The following is a 15,670-nucleotide window of genomic DNA, read 5'->3' as shown; positions in this document are numbered from 1 at the left end:
CTACTAAAAATAAAAAAATTAGCCGGGCTTGGTGGCTCATGTCTGTAATCCCAGCTACTTGGGAGGCAGGAGAATCGTTTGAACCCGGGAGGCGGTGGTTGAGCCAAGATTGCGCCACTGCAACTCCAGCCTGAGTGACAGAGCAAGACTCCATCTCAAAGAAAAAAAGAAAGGAAGAAAGAAATATAACATTATAACATGAGTTATGTATATGTTCAGATTTTCTAGAAGCCACATTGGAAATTAAGTTAAAAGAAAGAAATAGGTAAAAAAAATTTTTTTTTTTGAGACGGAGTCTCACTTTGTTGCCAGGCTGGAGTGCAGTGGCGCAATCTCGGCTCACTGCAACCTCTGCCTCCCGGGTTCAAGCAATTCTCCTGCCTCAGCCTCCTGAGTAGCTGGGACTACAGGCGCGCGCCACTGCACGCAGCTAATTTTTGTACTTTTAGTAGAGACGGGGTTTCACCATGTTGGCCAGGATGGTGTCGACCTCTTGACCTCGTGATTTGCCCACCTCAGCCTCCCAAAGTGCTGGGATTACAGGCGTGAGCCACCGCGCCTGGCCAATATTTGTTTTTTAATTAACTTGTTTGTTTAGATTTTATTTAATGTAACTATATTTCCAAAATATTATCATTTGAACATGTAATCAATATAGAAATTATTGATGAGATACTTTACATTTTTTTCATAACAAGTTTTTAAGATGCGGTGTATACTTTTTACTTATAGCATATCCGTTAGCACCAGCCACATTTCAAGTGTGCAGTGGCCACTGTGTGGGCCACAGGTCTAGAATATAAGACATGAAGATGGAGAGTGAGAAATGCCTTTGGAAAGGTTGGAAGTTCCTGTCCTTCTGCTGCCAATTACCAAATCTCCTGAGAGTGCTATTAAGGAGTGACTCAAAGCACTACACAAAGAGAATTATAAATATCTTAATATTATATCTGAAATCCAAATGCATAATTCTTTACATTTGGTTGGTACTTTAGAGAGGAGAGAATGGGCACAGTCACCCACACCACCCATTTGAGCCTCATAATCACCTGTGATGTGGCTTCCTCTAGGTGGGAAACCGAGGCTTAGAACGGTTAAGTGACTATCCCAGGGTGGCAAGATCATAAGTGGAAGGGTGTGAATTCATACTGTCTCCAGCGGACAAGAATAAAAAGACCCAGGCTGGGTGTGGTGGCTCATGCCTGTAATCCCAGCACTTTGGGAGGCCACTGTAGGTGGATCTCCTGAGCCCAGGAGTTCATTACCAGCATGGGCAACATGGTGAGACCCCATTTTTATTAAATATACAGAAAATTAGCCCAGCTTCTCGGGAGGCTGAGGTGGGAGGATCACTTGAGTCTGGGGGATGGAGGTTGTAGTGAGTTGAGATCGTGCCACTGCACTCTAGCTTGGGTGACAGAGCAACACTCTGTCTCAGAAAGAATAAAAAGATTTGGCCATGAATTCGTCAGCTAGTTTTCCTTACATAATTTTTGGACAAGGAGATCTGACATTCATAGGTTTTTCTCTTAGAAGTGGGAGAGCTTCAAGGTCACGTGGTCCGTCCAGCCCCTGCTATCTCACCAGACACTGTCCACCCTGTATGTTGGATCAGTACTCCAGTGAGAAGACAGCAGGCACTTTCACCCATGCAGCCCATTCAGTCTTCATAACCACCTGTGATGGAGGCAAGGCAAGTATTTCAGCCCCCTCTGATGAGTGGGAAACTGAGATGTGCCCCCTCTCTGCTCCCCACCGAGGACCTCTGCATGCAGGCATGAATCCCAGGAGCCTAGCTGATATTGGAGAGACGGGGCGGGGGGAACCAGCTGCAGGGTCTTGGAGGAAGCTGCTGTGTACACCTGCAAGGCTGCAGGTTACATCTATCTGTCAAGCAGTGAAGGAAGGAAGTTGTTTCTAAGGGATTGGAAAAATTCATTAATTAGTAGAATGAGAAACTGAGGTGAAGCAGGAGGTGGCAGGGTCCCAGACAGCATGTTGGACTAGTGGCCTGTGTCACTGTGTTTTTTGCAGGCGGGTGGCATGGGGTGTATGCTGACTTCTTATTCCAGGAGTTGGTGCCAGGAGGCCAGGTTTTCTTAACATCCTTGTTTTACAGATGTCAAACTTGAGGGCCAGAGGGGTAGGAGAGGAAGAGACTTTTTGTACCTTTTTTGGGAAAGAACAAGAGGGAAGCTGGCAGATGAATTTGAAGTGCATTGACCAGGGAGCTGAGAGAGGGCGGTCTGCAGCCAGCCCACACCTGGGAGGAGGCGGCAGGCTTTTCTGGGGACAGAGTGGCCAAGTCGAAGCAAGCTTAACCATCTCAACATGACACCACTCTTTCCCATTGGAACCTGAGAACTTGTTCAGTATTCTGACACTTAGCAAGGGACCTGGGTTTTCTTGGTCAGGTGTGCGTTTCTGGGTGACAGGCCTGCATCAGGTGTATTTTCGGGATGTAGTAAGTTGTGGAATATGGGTTTAGGGGCATCCTCTGGCAAGCACTGCTTCTATCCCAGCTCTGGGAATGTGCCCCATGCAGTGTCCTAGATGGCCCATCTGTGGTCTGCTTCCAAGGGTCTTTCTTTTAGTTAGTTAGTTTTGAGACAGAGTCTCACTCCGTCACCCAGGCTGGAGTGCAGTGATGCAATCTCGGCTCACTGCAACCTCCACCTCCCAAATTCAAGCAATTCTCATGCGTTAGCCTCCTGAGTAGCTGGGATTACAGGCGTGCACCACCACACCCAGCTAATTTTTGTATTTTTAGTAGACGAGGAATTTCACCATGTTGGCCAGTCTGGTCTCAACTCCCCACCTCAGGTGATACTCCCGCCTCAGCCTCCCAAAGTCCCGGGATTGTAGGTATGAGCCAACATGCCCTGGCACAAGGGTCTATCTTTGACCAATGGAACTGCAAATCAAGCCTCTTTTGTTACCAGAGTTACCTTGGATTTACCCTTATCTACTTGGTTTGGATAAATTGAGTTTGCATCAGATGGAGTCAGGCTTGATCAATCCCTTATTTACTTCCTCCCACCCTGTTCTCTAATATCCAAAAACCTTGAGGCACTATTACATGCTAGCTACATTTCCTTGAGTAAAGTACTTAACCTCTTTGAGCCTCAGTTTCTCCATTGCATAAAAGGAATAATAAAACTTATCCCCCATAAGTTTATAGTGAGGAATGAATTAATTCCTCACTATAGTTCTAAATTAATTCTACTTAGGGCATCCTTGGTACATAGTGGGTGTTCAGTATTCATTTCATTTTCTCTTTTCTGATTCCTTTCGTAAAAGTAGAAAAATGAAAGAGAAATGTTGACTTCTCTTTTGATTTGAAATCATTAAAACATTTTAGTAAGCCTTGGGAGGGAGCTAGTGGTGTGGCATGTGTATCCCGCTGGCCAAGCACATGTGAACGAAGCCAAGAATCCAGGGGCTTTTCTGCCAGCCAGCACTGACTCACTTGCGAGGGGCCCTGCCTGGCTCGGGGGAGGCAGGGCTGAAGTACCACATTAGGGCATGTTCCGGGGAAGTAGATTCTCTGAATAACTTGGATGGCTCCCTGGAGCATTTAGGACAGAAGCCACCTGGAAAATAGAGATGGTCACCCCCACGTAGCCTTGACAGTGCCCAGAAAGTCTTGTCACTTGGTAAATGTTAACAGCTATGATCCGTTCTTTAAGACCCTGGGGAGTTTTAAGTTTTACCCCACCAGACCTGAGAAGGGTAAAGGGCTGCAGATTCTGTTCTTTTAACTGGGGCCAGTGTGAGCCATCTTTGACTCAGTGCTTGCAATAGACCTTGATTCTGCAGTGGGACCTCCCAGGCCCCCTTGCCCCCCGCAACTTCTGGACTCATATCCGTCAGACATCACTTGTCACCTTCCAGCATCAGGGAGAACTGGATCCCTCCTGGCTCCACACTCTTAGGCTCTTTGTAAGTAGCTGGTGAGGGTTTTCTTCTCTCTGCAAGGGAGGCTGGTAGAACTATGGATGTGATTCGTACAATTTTAGAGACAAAAAGAAAGTACCCAGGAGGTCATTTATTTCAGCTGCTTCATTGCATAGGTCGGGGAGTTGAGCATGGAGTCCAGCAGCTACTAACTAGTTATCTCTGTACCTGGCTTCCATTTACTGGTCCTTAGCTTGTTCCGTGATTCTTCATTGCCCCTTATTTCTCACCAGAGGGACTGGTTGGCCCTAGATGGAGTGGTCTTTTTAAAATTTTTTTTTTAAATTTTTTGAGACAGAGTCTCACTCTGTCACCTAGGCTGTAGTGCAGTGCTGCGATCTCGGCTCACTGCAACCTCCGCCTCCTGAGTTCAAGCAATTCTCCTGTCTCAGCCTCCTGAGTAGCTGGGATTACAGGTGTGTACCACTATGCCCAGCTAATTTTTGTATTTTTAGTAGAGATGGGATTTCACCATATTGGCCAGGTTGGTCTTGAACTCCTGACCTCAAATGATCTGCCCACCTTAGCCTCCCGAAGTGCTGGGATTGCAGGTGTGAGCCACCGCACCTGGCCTGGGCAGAGTGAAGTCTTATGCTGGGGAGCCATCAGCATGCTCAAACCTCCTGCAATTGTAGCACACTTTGTAAAACTGTTTCCCACAAAAGGGCAGAACTATTTGGGACTTTCATGAGACCATTCACTTTGTAGCACATACTACTTTGAAGTTTATACCTTGGAAAACCTCATGATGGTATTCCCAGGCTTGCACGTAATCTGCACTCAAAACATAGCTGTAGAATTGAACTAAAGCATCCCTCTGTCCAATTAAGACCTATAACCTCTCTTTTTGAGACAGAATCTCGCTCTGTCACCCAGGTTGGAGTGCAGTGGTGCAATCTCAGCTCACTGCATCCTTCGCCTCCTGGATTCAAGCGATTCTCTTGCCTTAGCCTCCGAAGTAACTGGGACTACAGGTGCGCGCCACCACGCCTGGGTAATTTTTGTATTTTTAGTAGAGACGGGGTTTCGCCATGGCCAGGCTGGTCTCAAACTCCTGGCCTCAAGTGATCCTCCCGCCTCAGCCTCCCAAAGTGCTGGGATTACAGGGTGCACCACCACACCCAGCCAGGACCTATGATCTAATTCATTGTTGGGGTAGCTTCACAATTTTCTTCTGGACGCCTTAGTAAGTCCACACTTTAAGCAGCCACCACATGGCATACTTTACCTTCTGTTTTTCCTTTCCCCTCCCCTACCTAGACCCTCCTAACTTTTGGGGTTTTTTTCCTTTCCTCAGGGTCAGTTTGAAAAGGAGGATCGAGCTCACTGTGGAGTATCCATGGAGATGTGGAGCCTTGTCACCAACCTCTAACTGCAGAACTGGGATGTGGAGCTGGAAGTGCCTCCTCTTCTGGGCTGTGCTGGTCACAGCCACACTCTGCACCGCTAGGCCGTCCCCGACCTTGCCTGAACAAGGTAAGGTGCTGGCTGGGGGCAGCCTGGACTCCTGGGCCTTGGGAACAGGATGGGCTGGGAGGGAGGTGATATGGTTGCAGGTGATGTGGTCAACAGGGAAGGCTCCTTCCCAAGTGGAGCAAAGAACTCCCTTCCTGTAGGAGAAACTCTCAAGATACCTGGGTTGGTTCTGGTCTGGTTATAAACATAACTGACTTCATCAGAGGTTGGGGTCATGAAGGCTGGTGACATCCATTTACCTGAGATGACATGTTTGTGGGGGGTAATTTATGCTTTTCTCTTTCTGAGGAAAGAATATCTGATGAGGACCCTAGTGTCACACTTTAACATAGGTGATGTATAAAATGCAGCTGGTGGTGCAATGGGGAGAGAATGACCTTAGAATTTGCGTGTAGAACTTGGGTCAGACTACAGGGGATGTTGTAGGAGGTGAGAGCTTGCTAAAGACCTCTGACTTCCAGAAAATTGTTTCAAGGCCACATCTTCGCCAGGCATAGTGGGTCACACATGTAACCTCAGCACTCTGGGAGGCTAAGGCAAGAGGATCACTTGAGGCCAGGAGTTCAAGATCAGCCTAGGCAATATAGCGAGACCCCATCTCTACAAAAAAAAAGGAAATTAACTGGGTGTGATGGTGCACGCTGCTAGTCCCAGCTACTTGCTACTCAGGAGGCTGAGACAGGAAGATTGCATGATCCTAAGAGTTGAGGCTGCAGTGAATTATGATTGCACTACTGCGCTCCAGCCTGGGTGAAAAAAAGGCACATCTTCTATAAGGGTCAGCAGTCATGGCTTCACGCCTGCATTTTCCTATCCTTAACTGTGTCTCACAGGTTCTGTTTGGGGGCCTGCCAAGCGATTTGCTTTGGATAGGTACTGTTTGAGGGGTTTTGAAGTGATTGAGACCCAGGAAGCATAAAGGGGCATGGAGACCTATGGCGTGTTGGAAATTCAGAGCCATCATCGGTAACAGGAAGGACTTACCCCACCATTCTTGGGATCTGTGTGAGCTGTGGAAAGGCCTCTTGGGAGATTATAGGTACAGAATACCGGTGGCTTTCGCGGGACTTTGAAAACTAATGTATGAGCATTTCTGCTGCCAGAGGATAGTGTGGTTCGTGACTCAGTGGCTGGTCACACAGAGAAGGTTGACACACAGTGGGTGAAAGGTTGGAGGTGCGCGTGATGGGGTGGCTGTGTGCAAAAGGCTGCCACTCAGCTGGTCAGGGACTCGTTTGAATGATGAGTGATGGGTGAGAATATGTGTCCTCTGGATGGAGTTGGGGATGAACAGGGAAAGTTGTGTGAGACTTTATAGAAGGTGCAGTGGCTAGAGCAGGCATATTCATGTTGCTGTCAGTAACAGAACCGAAGGCAAGGTCTGAGCTGGAGCACGGTGGGGACCCAAAGTGGGAGAGACTGTGTCTGCCCACAGGGAGTTTATGGTCAGGAGGGATGGGCAAGTACAGGGATAAGTAACACAAGACAGACTGTGTTTAAACCACCCAGTGAAGTTACAACCAGAGGTGGTGGGAATGCAGAGGAAGAGGGGAGCAGAGAGCACCTGAGATGGGCTTGAGTTCAGAAGGGGAAAAATGAAGGGCCCTCCAGGTTGAACAGCATGAGTGTTCAGAGACAGCATGTATATGGTTTATGGAGAACGGTTTGCCTGGTGAGTAGGTAGCTCTGGGAAACAACACTTGGAAAAATTGGATTGAGTTAGCATATGGAAGGCTTAATGCCCTGCTAAGAAAACTATACTTAGGGCCGGGCACGGTGGCTCACGCCTGTAATCCCAGCACTTTGGGAGGCTGAGGCGGGTGGATCACAAGGTCAGGAGTTCGAGACCATCCTGCCTAACACGGTGAAACCCCATCTCTATTAAAAATACAAAAAAATTAGCCGGGCGTAGTGGCAGGCGCCTGTAGTCCCAGCTACTCCAGCTCCAGTCTCCAGCTGAGGCAGGAGAATGGCGTGAACCCGGGAGGCAGAGCATGCAGTGAGCTGAGATCGCGCCACTGCACTCCAGCCTGGGCAACAGAGTGAGACTCCGTCTCAAAAAAGAAAAAGAAAACTATACTTAGGCCAGGCGTGGATTATGCTGGTAATCTCAACATTTTGGGAAGCCGAGGCAGGAGGATTGCTTGAGCCAAGAAGTTTGAGACCAGCCTGGGCAACATGATGAGACCCTGTGTCTACAAAAAATAGAAAAATTAGCCAGGTGTGGTGGCACATGCTTGTAGTCCCAACTATTAGGGAGGCTGAGGTGGGAGGATCACTTGAACCTGGGAGGTAGAGGTTGCAGTGAGCCATGATCACACCGCTTCACTTCAGCCTGGGTGACAGAGTGAAACTCTGTCTAAAAAAAAAAAAAAAAAAAAAGCAAGAAAAGAAAACTAGACTTAAATGGGTAGATGCTGGGAAACTTGAAAAGTTTTTAGCAAGTAGTGACACTATCAGCTTTCAGAAAGTTAATTTGGCAGCTCAGTGTGGATGGCTGGGAGGAAAGAGTGAGGTGCACCTGTGTTTGCATCCTGCTCTGCCACTTGATAGCTGCATTATTTACTTCAACAAACTACTCAAACACCATACGTCACAGTTTGCTCATCTGTAAAACAGGGATAAATAATAAAGGGTTAAGTGGGGTAATCCAGATGAAGCACTTCCATGTAAGGTGTTAATAGTTGCTATTGCTGCCACTGCTGCTGCCAGAAGGATGAGGTCGCAGGTTATTTTGAGTGTCTGGCTAGAGGAAGTGCAGGTACTGACCAGGATGGGGACTGGGAGATGATAGAGGAAGGAAAAAGTAGTAAAGACACTACAGCAATAGCATCTGTGGGTTTAAGTAGGTTGGGTGTCAACTGTGGGCAACTGGAGACTGAGATGAGAGTGTAAAGGGAGTGAGTCAGAGTGGGAGGTTTGAGGGGAGTTTAGATTTGAATCCGCCAATTGTAGACAGCGATAAAGGAGTGGAAGAGTAGCAAGGAGCTAGTTGAGGTTTGAGAATGTGAATTTATAATGGAGCCTAAAGTACTTTCTTTTTTTTGCAGCCCAAGAAGGGAGAAGTGGATCTCGGGCCTGGCTGCTTGTGAGCCAGCCCGACGGGATGAGTATAAGGAACTTTAGGGCCAGGGTGGGGGTGCTAGTAGAGGAGGGGGCTTCACGGAAGCTGCTGGGGCAGGGTGGAGGCTGGAACCTGGGGGCTGAAGATCTTGATGAGGACAAAGTACCGGCCCTGTGAACAGAAGAAAGGGAGTAAGAGAGGTGGATGGGGCTCTTAGGAGCCATGTACCCAGGAAGACTGACATTAAATGACCATTTTTTAAAAATCAACTTAATTTTCAAAGGCACATTGGCTCCCACCTATAATCCCAGTACTGTGGGAGGCAGAGGCAGGAGGATCACTTGAGCCCAGGAGTTTAAGATCAGCTGGGTTTGTTTGTTTGTTGGTTGGTTGGTTTTAAGAGACAGAGTTTCACTCTGTTGCCCAGGCTGGAATGCAGTGGCATGATCTTGGCTTACTGCAACCTCTGCCTCCCAGGTTCAAGCGATTCTCCTGCCTCAGCCTCCTAAGTAGCTGGAATTACAGGTGCTCACCACTATGCCTGGCTAATTTTTATATTTTTAGTAGAGATGGGTTTCACCAGGTTGGCCTTGAACTCCTGACCTCAAGTGATCTGCCCACCTCGGCTTCCCAAAGTGCTGGGACTATAGGTGTGAGCCACCACACCTGGCCAAACCAACTTAATTTAGGTATAACAGTTTGGGCTATTGTAATAAGACTGCTGTGAACCTTCATGTGCAAGCCTGGGTGGGCACACATTTTCCTTGGACTGCCCTGGTTTTGATTTTGGCTCCACACCTTACTGACTGTTGGCTCTTGGGGAAGTTCCTCTTTGTGCCCTTTTATAAAATATATTGATAATGAATGTGTGCTCATAAGGTCATTGTGAATATCAAATAAGCATGTCTGCAGAGCTCATAGGACATTGCCTGGTCCGTAGGCCATGAGCAGTCAATGGCCGTTGTGGGTCCCTTTCCCTGGGCCTCCAGGGGAGACGGCACATGGCGAGGAGCATGTTGTTTCATGGGACACAGCAACGGAAAGCCCCTGCACTTGGAGAACAAGCCCCAGGTCTCTGTTTGGTGGAGTAAGCCCCCGTCTCAGTGTGAGTGTGGTGCTTTCACATAGCCTGTCTCTCATGAGCTTTGTGACAGAACAGAGAACTGCTGTGCCCAGGACATTCTAAGGGGAGATCTGGCTTCATGCTTTGTAAGCTGTAAGGAACCTTGTAAGTGTAAAGTATATTGCATAGTCTTGGGCCTGCTGATTATTAAATAATAATGCTGATATTTTTTAATTAATTAATTAATTTATTTGAGACGGAGTCTCACTCTGTCGCGAGGCTGGAGTGCAGTGGCGTGATCTTGGCTCACTGCAACCTCCACCTCCTGGGTTCAAGCGATTCTTCTGCCTCAGCCTCCCAAGTAGCTGGGATTACAGGCGCGTGCCACCACGCCCAGCTAGTTTTTTTGTATATTTAGTAGAGACGGGGTTTCACCATGTTGGCCAGGATGGTCTCGGTCTCCTGACCTCATGATCTGCCCACCTCGGCCTCCCAAAGTGCTGGGATTACAGGTGTTAGCCACCATGCCTGGCCAATGCTGCTGTTGTCCTAAAAAAAAAATCATAGGGCGAGCACAGTGGCTCACACCTGTAATCCCAGCACTATAGGAGGCCGATGCAGGAGGATTGCACGAGCCCGGGAGTTCCAGACCAGCCTGGGCAACATAGCAAGACCCCATCTCTAAAAATTTTAAAAATTAGCTGGGTAACGTGGCACACATCGGCAGTCCTAGCTATTCAGGAGGCTGAGATGGGAGAATTGCTTGAGAGTTGCTTGAGCCCAGGAGTTGAGGCTACAGTGAGCTATAATCAAGCCACTGCACTCCAGCCTGGGTGTCAGAAGGAGACCCTGTCTTTAAAAAAAAGAAGAAACACATTATAATCTATGTATTAAGGGCTTTGTCCAAAAGGTGAGAGCAAACCACCTAAAACCCTGTTCACACTGAGTTTTCCCCATTTAAAAGGCCTTGCTGTGATTTTAAGTGTGTGTGTGTGTGTGTGTGTGTGTGTGTGTGTGTGTGTGTGTGTCTGTGTGTCTGTGTGTCTGTCGGGAGCCCCTCCCCACTGAGCGCAGTACCAACGCCCCTCAGTCTGCAAGTGCTCCTGAGGGATTGGGGAGGGCCTGGAGTTTCTGGCTGTCCTTGGAAAGTTGATTTAATAAGGGTTCCAGGAAAACCAGCCTCCCTCCCCTCTCCCTCTCCTTCCCCTCCTTTGGTTTGGGATCTTACAGAGCCTCAGCTTGTTTCAGATCAGGCTTTGAGAGTGGTGAGGGAGTTGTTTGGAAAGACTGAAGCCGGTTTCAGATGATAAGCCCCAACATTCTGAGCTTGCAGAGGGTGCATTTGTCTGTCTTTTGCAATAAGTCAAGTCTTGGTGGGCAAAGCCAGTGAGTGAGTACAACACTGCTTGCAAGGCCACTGCTGGTAGTTGGGGTGGGGGTCCTGCCCCCTTTTCAGCAGTACTGTGGGTTAAACACCCCAGTGCTCAGAAAACCTGCAGCTCAGAAGTGATTTAATGGGCTGAGTTTTACAGCTCCTCCCACCCACCCAGATTTGAAGGAGTCTGGTGGCTTGTTAGAGGGGGGAGAGGTTGCACTTAATGGAAAAACCACACATTTCCATTCTGGCCTCAAGCCCCCTGGATGCCCTGTGTGCACCACAAAGCGGGGCTTTGTCTCTGTGTTTTGCAGAAACCTGCACCTATGGGGGAGAGGCTGTGCGTGGTGCCAGAGCCATTGCCTAGCCTCAGATCATAGGGCCCTTGCAGGTCCTCCATCCCTGGGCGTCTCCAGCTGCCTTTGGCCCAAAGGGGTGTGCGTTTCAGCCTGGCTGCAGGGAGAGTCTCAAATAGGTACTACAGGTTTGGTAGTGGGACACCCTCTGTTCCACTATCAGACCTGTAGTCTAGCATCTACACTGGACTGTGGTCCTGTGTCCCAAGGCTGCCTTGGGACACAGGCAAGACCCTCCCCTACTCCCACCCCATCTCCAGCATGATTTCTTATGATGAAAAGAACTTGTTTGCTTCTCATTCAACCTGGATGGTAAGAGGAGTTTCTTCATCCCCTGCCAGAAGGCGAATGGAATTCCATGGAGCAAAAGGTGATGTCAGATGACCCTCTTGAGAACAAGGGTGGAGGATTTAGGCCTCTAGAAATCTGCAAGGTGCTAAGCTCATAACAGGTTTCCCCAGAGGATCAGCTCTGTCCCACTTCCCCTGGAGAAGTGGCTCCAGTGCCTGGAAGGGGTGTTTGCAAGTGTTCAGAGCTGGACAGGGAGGACCCAGCCCTCGGCCTGTGAGAGAATGTGAGGACGCTCACGTGGCCCTCTTGACCAAGCTGGGGCAAGCGCAGCAAAGCCACTCCGAGGCTGTGTTCTTGGCTCCGGCTTCTGCATTGCTACACCATTAGCTTCACTGATTTTCCACTCTGGCTCTGCCAGGCCCGCTCCCTGAAGTCAGGGAGGAGGAATTTCTCAGGGAAGAACAAATGGCTGTCCAGAGATCTTGCTGCCAGTGGGGGAAGGGAGGGATCCCAAACAAAGACTCTGTCAGGGTTTCCATCACCTGGTTCCTGTGACTACCTGGAGTCGGGTCAGCAGGAACTGGAGAGACAGCATCAGGGATTCTTTGGGAGCCTGTGGCCCCAGCACGGAGGGGTGTTTGCTCCTGGCCAGGCAGAAGCAGTGAGTGATGGCTTGTGTCTGGGCGGTGATGAATGGCCCTGGGAGAAGTGAGTCCTGGGGAGTCATTATCCGGGAGGGCGAGGTCTGGGGTCAGAGAGCCCGACCAGCAGCTGGCCCTATTTTCACAATGCCTCGTTCCTCCGGGGCCACTGGGGGCTCCAGCTCACCCTGTAGACACCACCTTTGCCTCTTTCTTCCTTCCCTGAGGCTTGGAAATGAGACAACTGTTTCCCTGTTGACCGGGGAAGTCCAGCTGCTCTCATTCTCCTGGGCTCCTGAACGGGGCGGCCCAGGCCTTCCTCCTGGGCCTGGCTCTTTCACCAACTTGCAGGCAGGCAATCCCTTCTCCCCACCCACCATACTCCCCAGCCCCACTGCACCCTAAATAATTAAGCTGAAAGCTAACTGCCCTACCTGGATCTGAAGGGCCTGGGCTAAATCCCAAACTGTTTCCTCCTAGGAGAAGCCTGCTGGAGTCTGGGCCACTTCTGACCTTGGGGTTTGCTCTGACTTACAGCTGGTGGCAGCCAAGTAGCAGGGCCAATTGCCCTAACCCCTCCTCCCCGGTAGTGGGCCTGTTGCCTCTTAGCATTGCCAGTGTGGCACCAAGAGACATTGAACTTCTACCCTCAGAGTTCCCTCCCTTCTCCTGTTTCTTGGCTCACAACAGTTCTTGCCTTTCCACTTGCCAAACAGGTATCTACTGCCTTCATGTAAAGCATTTGTGCCCTGCAAACTAGGGGCTGTGGGGTGAGGGCTCCGTGTAGCTGGTTTCAGGCACTGAGAAAGATCCACCCTGGCAGAGCTTGAAACTCCACGCCCTCTCCTCGTTCACATGCTGTGGCGTGGCTGAGCCTCCCGGGATGGGTTGTGTAAAAGGTGGGGTGGGGGCTGTGCCATTTGTGTTCCCAGGCCCTGGACATGGAGACACAGGGAGCCTGAAGTGGGTGAGAGGGTCAAGGAGTTCCGCAAAGAGTAGACTTAGTGGTTACGAGGTTGGGCAGAGAAAGAGGTCAGAAACAGCAACACGGAGGTTTCTAGGAGTTAACCAACAGTGAACATTGAATTCAGAGCTTAGCCCTTCCTCACTTTTCTCTAGGATCAAAAACTAGCTTCTGGCTAATGGTCCATTCATTGACTGATTTTTTTTCACTCATTCATTTATTCATTCATCTAGTCAAGCAAGTCTCTTCCTTTTTCCGTAAATACAATGTATACTTTATACATTGTTTTATCCTAGTCCCTTAGCTGGAAATATCTGTTCCTGTCCTTTTCTTCCTTTTCACTTTTTATAATTCCTGCTCAAATCTTAGTTTAAGGTTTAGCTTGGGTTTAGATTAAAGCTTAACTTAAGGGCCACCTCCCTTTTGAAGCCTTCCCCTATCTCCAAATTAATTACCCCATTTTTTCTCTTTTTCTTTTTTCTGTGTTTTTTTTTTCTCCTGAGACCTAGTCTCGCTCTGTTGCCCAGGCTAGAGTGCAGTGGAGTGATCATGGCTCACTGCAGCCTCGACCTCCTGGGATCAAGCGATCCTCTGGCCTCAGCCTCCTAAAGTGTTAGGATTACAGGCATGAGCCACCATGCCCTTTTGAGATGTAGTCTCGCTTAGTCATCCAGGCTGGAGTGCAGTGGCGCGATCTCGGCTCACTGCAACCTCTGCCTCCCAGGTGCTAGCGATTCTTCTGCCTCACCCTCCCGAGAAGCTGGGATTACAGGCACCCACCACCATGCCCAGCTAATTTTTGTATTTTTTGTAGAGACAGGTTTTCGCCATGTTGGCCAGTCTGGTCTTGAGCTCCTGACTTCAAGTGATCCACCCGCCTCAGCCTCCCAAAGTGCTGGGATTACAGGCGTGAGCCACCACACCTGGCCTCTTTTTAACTTTCATTCTAACACTTACTTTACTCTGCCTCACATTATGTGGAGTTTTTAATAGATGTCTGTTTACTCCACTAGAGCAAAGTTCTCTATAGTCAGCAAGTATATCTTTATCACTCTTTTAAAAACATTAGTGTTTAGGCTGGGCGCGGTGGCTCACTCCTGTAATCCCAGCACTGGCCAGCCTGGCGAAACCCTGTCTCTACTAAAAATACAAAAATTGGCCAGGTGTGGTGGCACGCACCTATAATCCCATCTACTCAGGTGGCTGAAGCAGGAGAATCACTTGAACCCGCGAGGCGGAAGTTGCAGTGAGCCGAGATCGCACCACTTCACTTCAGCCTGGGCAAAAGAGCGAAACTCCGTCTCAAAAAAAAAAAAAAAAAAATTGGTGTTTTGTTAGATAATCTGGGTTCATCTTTCAAAATTCAGAAAATACAGACCTGTAAAGAGGAAAAGGAAGACTCCTATAATTCCATCATTCAAAAGCAATCACTGTTAACTGAATTTATTGTTTTAGACTTTTTTCTTGCATTTATGTAAACCTGACTTTTCAGAATTAGGATTTATACTGTATACGATGTTTTGTGACTGATATCAGCATTTAGAGCCATACAGAGAATGTTTTTCATTATGCTTAAGAACTACATAATGTTCCATTGTGTGGGTGTACAAAGTTGATCCAGTTCTCTACATTTGGGCATTTAGGTTATTTTCAATAGTTTGCATTCAATAGAACATATTCTTACAAATAAAATCTGTCCATGTATCCAAGGATAGTTCCATTTGTTTTAAGTTTTGATTTTATCACTATTACATCACTATACCAAATATCCCCCAAAAGATTATACCAGTAAATGTCTTTTAAAATATAATAATAAATACCAGCCGGGTGCAGTTGCTCACACCTATAATCCCAGCACTTTGGGAGGCCGAGGCAGGCAGATCACTTAAGGTCAGGAGTTTGAGACCAGCCTTGGTAACATGGCAAAACCCTTCTCTACTAAAAATACAAAAATTAGCCGGTCATGATGGCGGCCACCTGTAGTCCCAGCTACTCAGGAGGCTGAGGCAGGAGAATAGCTTGAACCCAGGAGGTGGAGGTTGCAGTGAGCTGAGATTGCACCACTGCACTCCATCCTGGGCGACAGAGCAACGCTCTGTCTCAAAAGTAATAATAATAAATATCATCTCCACACTCTGCATGCTTGACATTTTCCCATTTTTACAATGATTCCATAGGCATAGGTTTTATGACCATAATCAGATGAGTAAACTGAGGTTTGAGGGGTTAAGTAACCTATCTTAAGTTTATATAGTGGGTGAGGGGTGGAACTAGGATTTAAACTCAGGTGGTTCTGCTATAGTATTTTTTTCCCATTGTATTACACTATTTTTCTATATCAAATTGGGTTTCCCCACAAAATCTAGGTGGACCAACTTCTGAATGTAAACATTGCTGGCTCAGTCCCCTTTGTCTCACAGGAGTCAGGCATCCCCTCCCTTTGTCAGGGGTGTGTGTGTGTGTGTGTGTGTGTGTGTGTGTGT

General features: G+C 48.3%; 1 protein-coding gene across 14 annotated transcripts in view, besides 6 other annotated features; it reads left to right on the top strand.

Moving 5' to 3' along the window:
• Nucleotides 1-15,670, top strand: part of FGFR1 (fibroblast growth factor receptor 1) — a 57,493-nt gene that overhangs the window by 5,847 nt on the left and 35,976 nt on the right. For 13 of the 14 annotated variants that reach the window (NM_001354368.2, NM_001354370.2, NM_023106.3 and 10 more), the window contains exon 2: nt 5,255-5,433. In NM_001354368.2, the coding sequence (NP_001341297.1) occupies nt 5,343-5,433 (91 nt within the window). In that variant the 5' untranslated portion in view covers nt 5,255-5,342. Of the gene's footprint in view, nt 1-1,533; nt 1,694-5,254; nt 5,434-15,670 lie in introns of all 14 variants that reach the window. The other variant, NM_001174067.2, reaches the window with a different exon arrangement.
• Nucleotides 4,135-5,123: an enhancer, noted in NCBI's record as "OCT4 hESC enhancer chr8:38315184-38316172 (GRCh37/hg19 assembly coordinates)". NCBI's record gives its function as "activates a minimal SCP1, AML or CMV promoter by ChIP-STARR-seq in primed H9 embryonic stem cells {active_cell/tissue: H9 hESC(primed)}" and the evidence as "EXISTENCE:reporter gene assay evidence [ECO:0000049][PMID:30033119]".
• Nucleotides 5,637-6,138: an enhancer, noted in NCBI's record as "OCT4 hESC enhancer chr8:38314169-38314670 (GRCh37/hg19 assembly coordinates)". NCBI's record gives its function as "activates a minimal SCP1, AML or CMV promoter by ChIP-STARR-seq in primed H9 embryonic stem cells {active_cell/tissue: H9 hESC(primed)}" and the evidence as "EXISTENCE:reporter gene assay evidence [ECO:0000049][PMID:30033119]".
• Nucleotides 7,149-7,851: an enhancer, noted in NCBI's record as "OCT4-H3K4me1 hESC enhancer chr8:38312456-38313158 (GRCh37/hg19 assembly coordinates)". NCBI's record gives its function as "activates a minimal SCP1, AML or CMV promoter by ChIP-STARR-seq in primed H9 embryonic stem cells {active_cell/tissue: H9 hESC(primed)}" and the evidence as "EXISTENCE:reporter gene assay evidence [ECO:0000049][PMID:30033119]".
• Nucleotides 9,361-10,084: an enhancer, noted in NCBI's record as "OCT4-H3K4me1 hESC enhancer chr8:38310223-38310946 (GRCh37/hg19 assembly coordinates)". NCBI's record gives its function as "activates a minimal SCP1, AML or CMV promoter by ChIP-STARR-seq in primed H9 embryonic stem cells {active_cell/tissue: H9 hESC(primed)}" and the evidence as "EXISTENCE:reporter gene assay evidence [ECO:0000049][PMID:30033119]".
• Nucleotides 10,809-11,532: an enhancer, noted in NCBI's record as "OCT4-H3K27ac-H3K4me1 hESC enhancer chr8:38308775-38309498 (GRCh37/hg19 assembly coordinates)". NCBI's record gives its function as "activates a minimal SCP1, AML or CMV promoter by ChIP-STARR-seq in primed H9 embryonic stem cells {active_cell/tissue: H9 hESC(primed)}" and the evidence as "EXISTENCE:reporter gene assay evidence [ECO:0000049][PMID:30033119]".
• Nucleotides 11,533-12,256: an enhancer, noted in NCBI's record as "OCT4-H3K27ac-H3K4me1 hESC enhancer chr8:38308051-38308774 (GRCh37/hg19 assembly coordinates)". NCBI's record gives its function as "activates a minimal SCP1, AML or CMV promoter by ChIP-STARR-seq in primed H9 embryonic stem cells {active_cell/tissue: H9 hESC(primed)}" and the evidence as "EXISTENCE:reporter gene assay evidence [ECO:0000049][PMID:30033119]".

Source organism: Homo sapiens, chromosome 8, assembly GCF_000001405.40.
Source record: "Homo sapiens chromosome 8, GRCh38.p14 Primary Assembly".
Taxonomy (NCBI): Eukaryota; Metazoa; Chordata; class Mammalia; order Primates; family Hominidae; genus Homo; species Homo sapiens.
The sequence above is the reverse complement of the archived record's forward strand: the minus strand, read 5'-3'. Positions and strand labels throughout refer to the sequence as shown.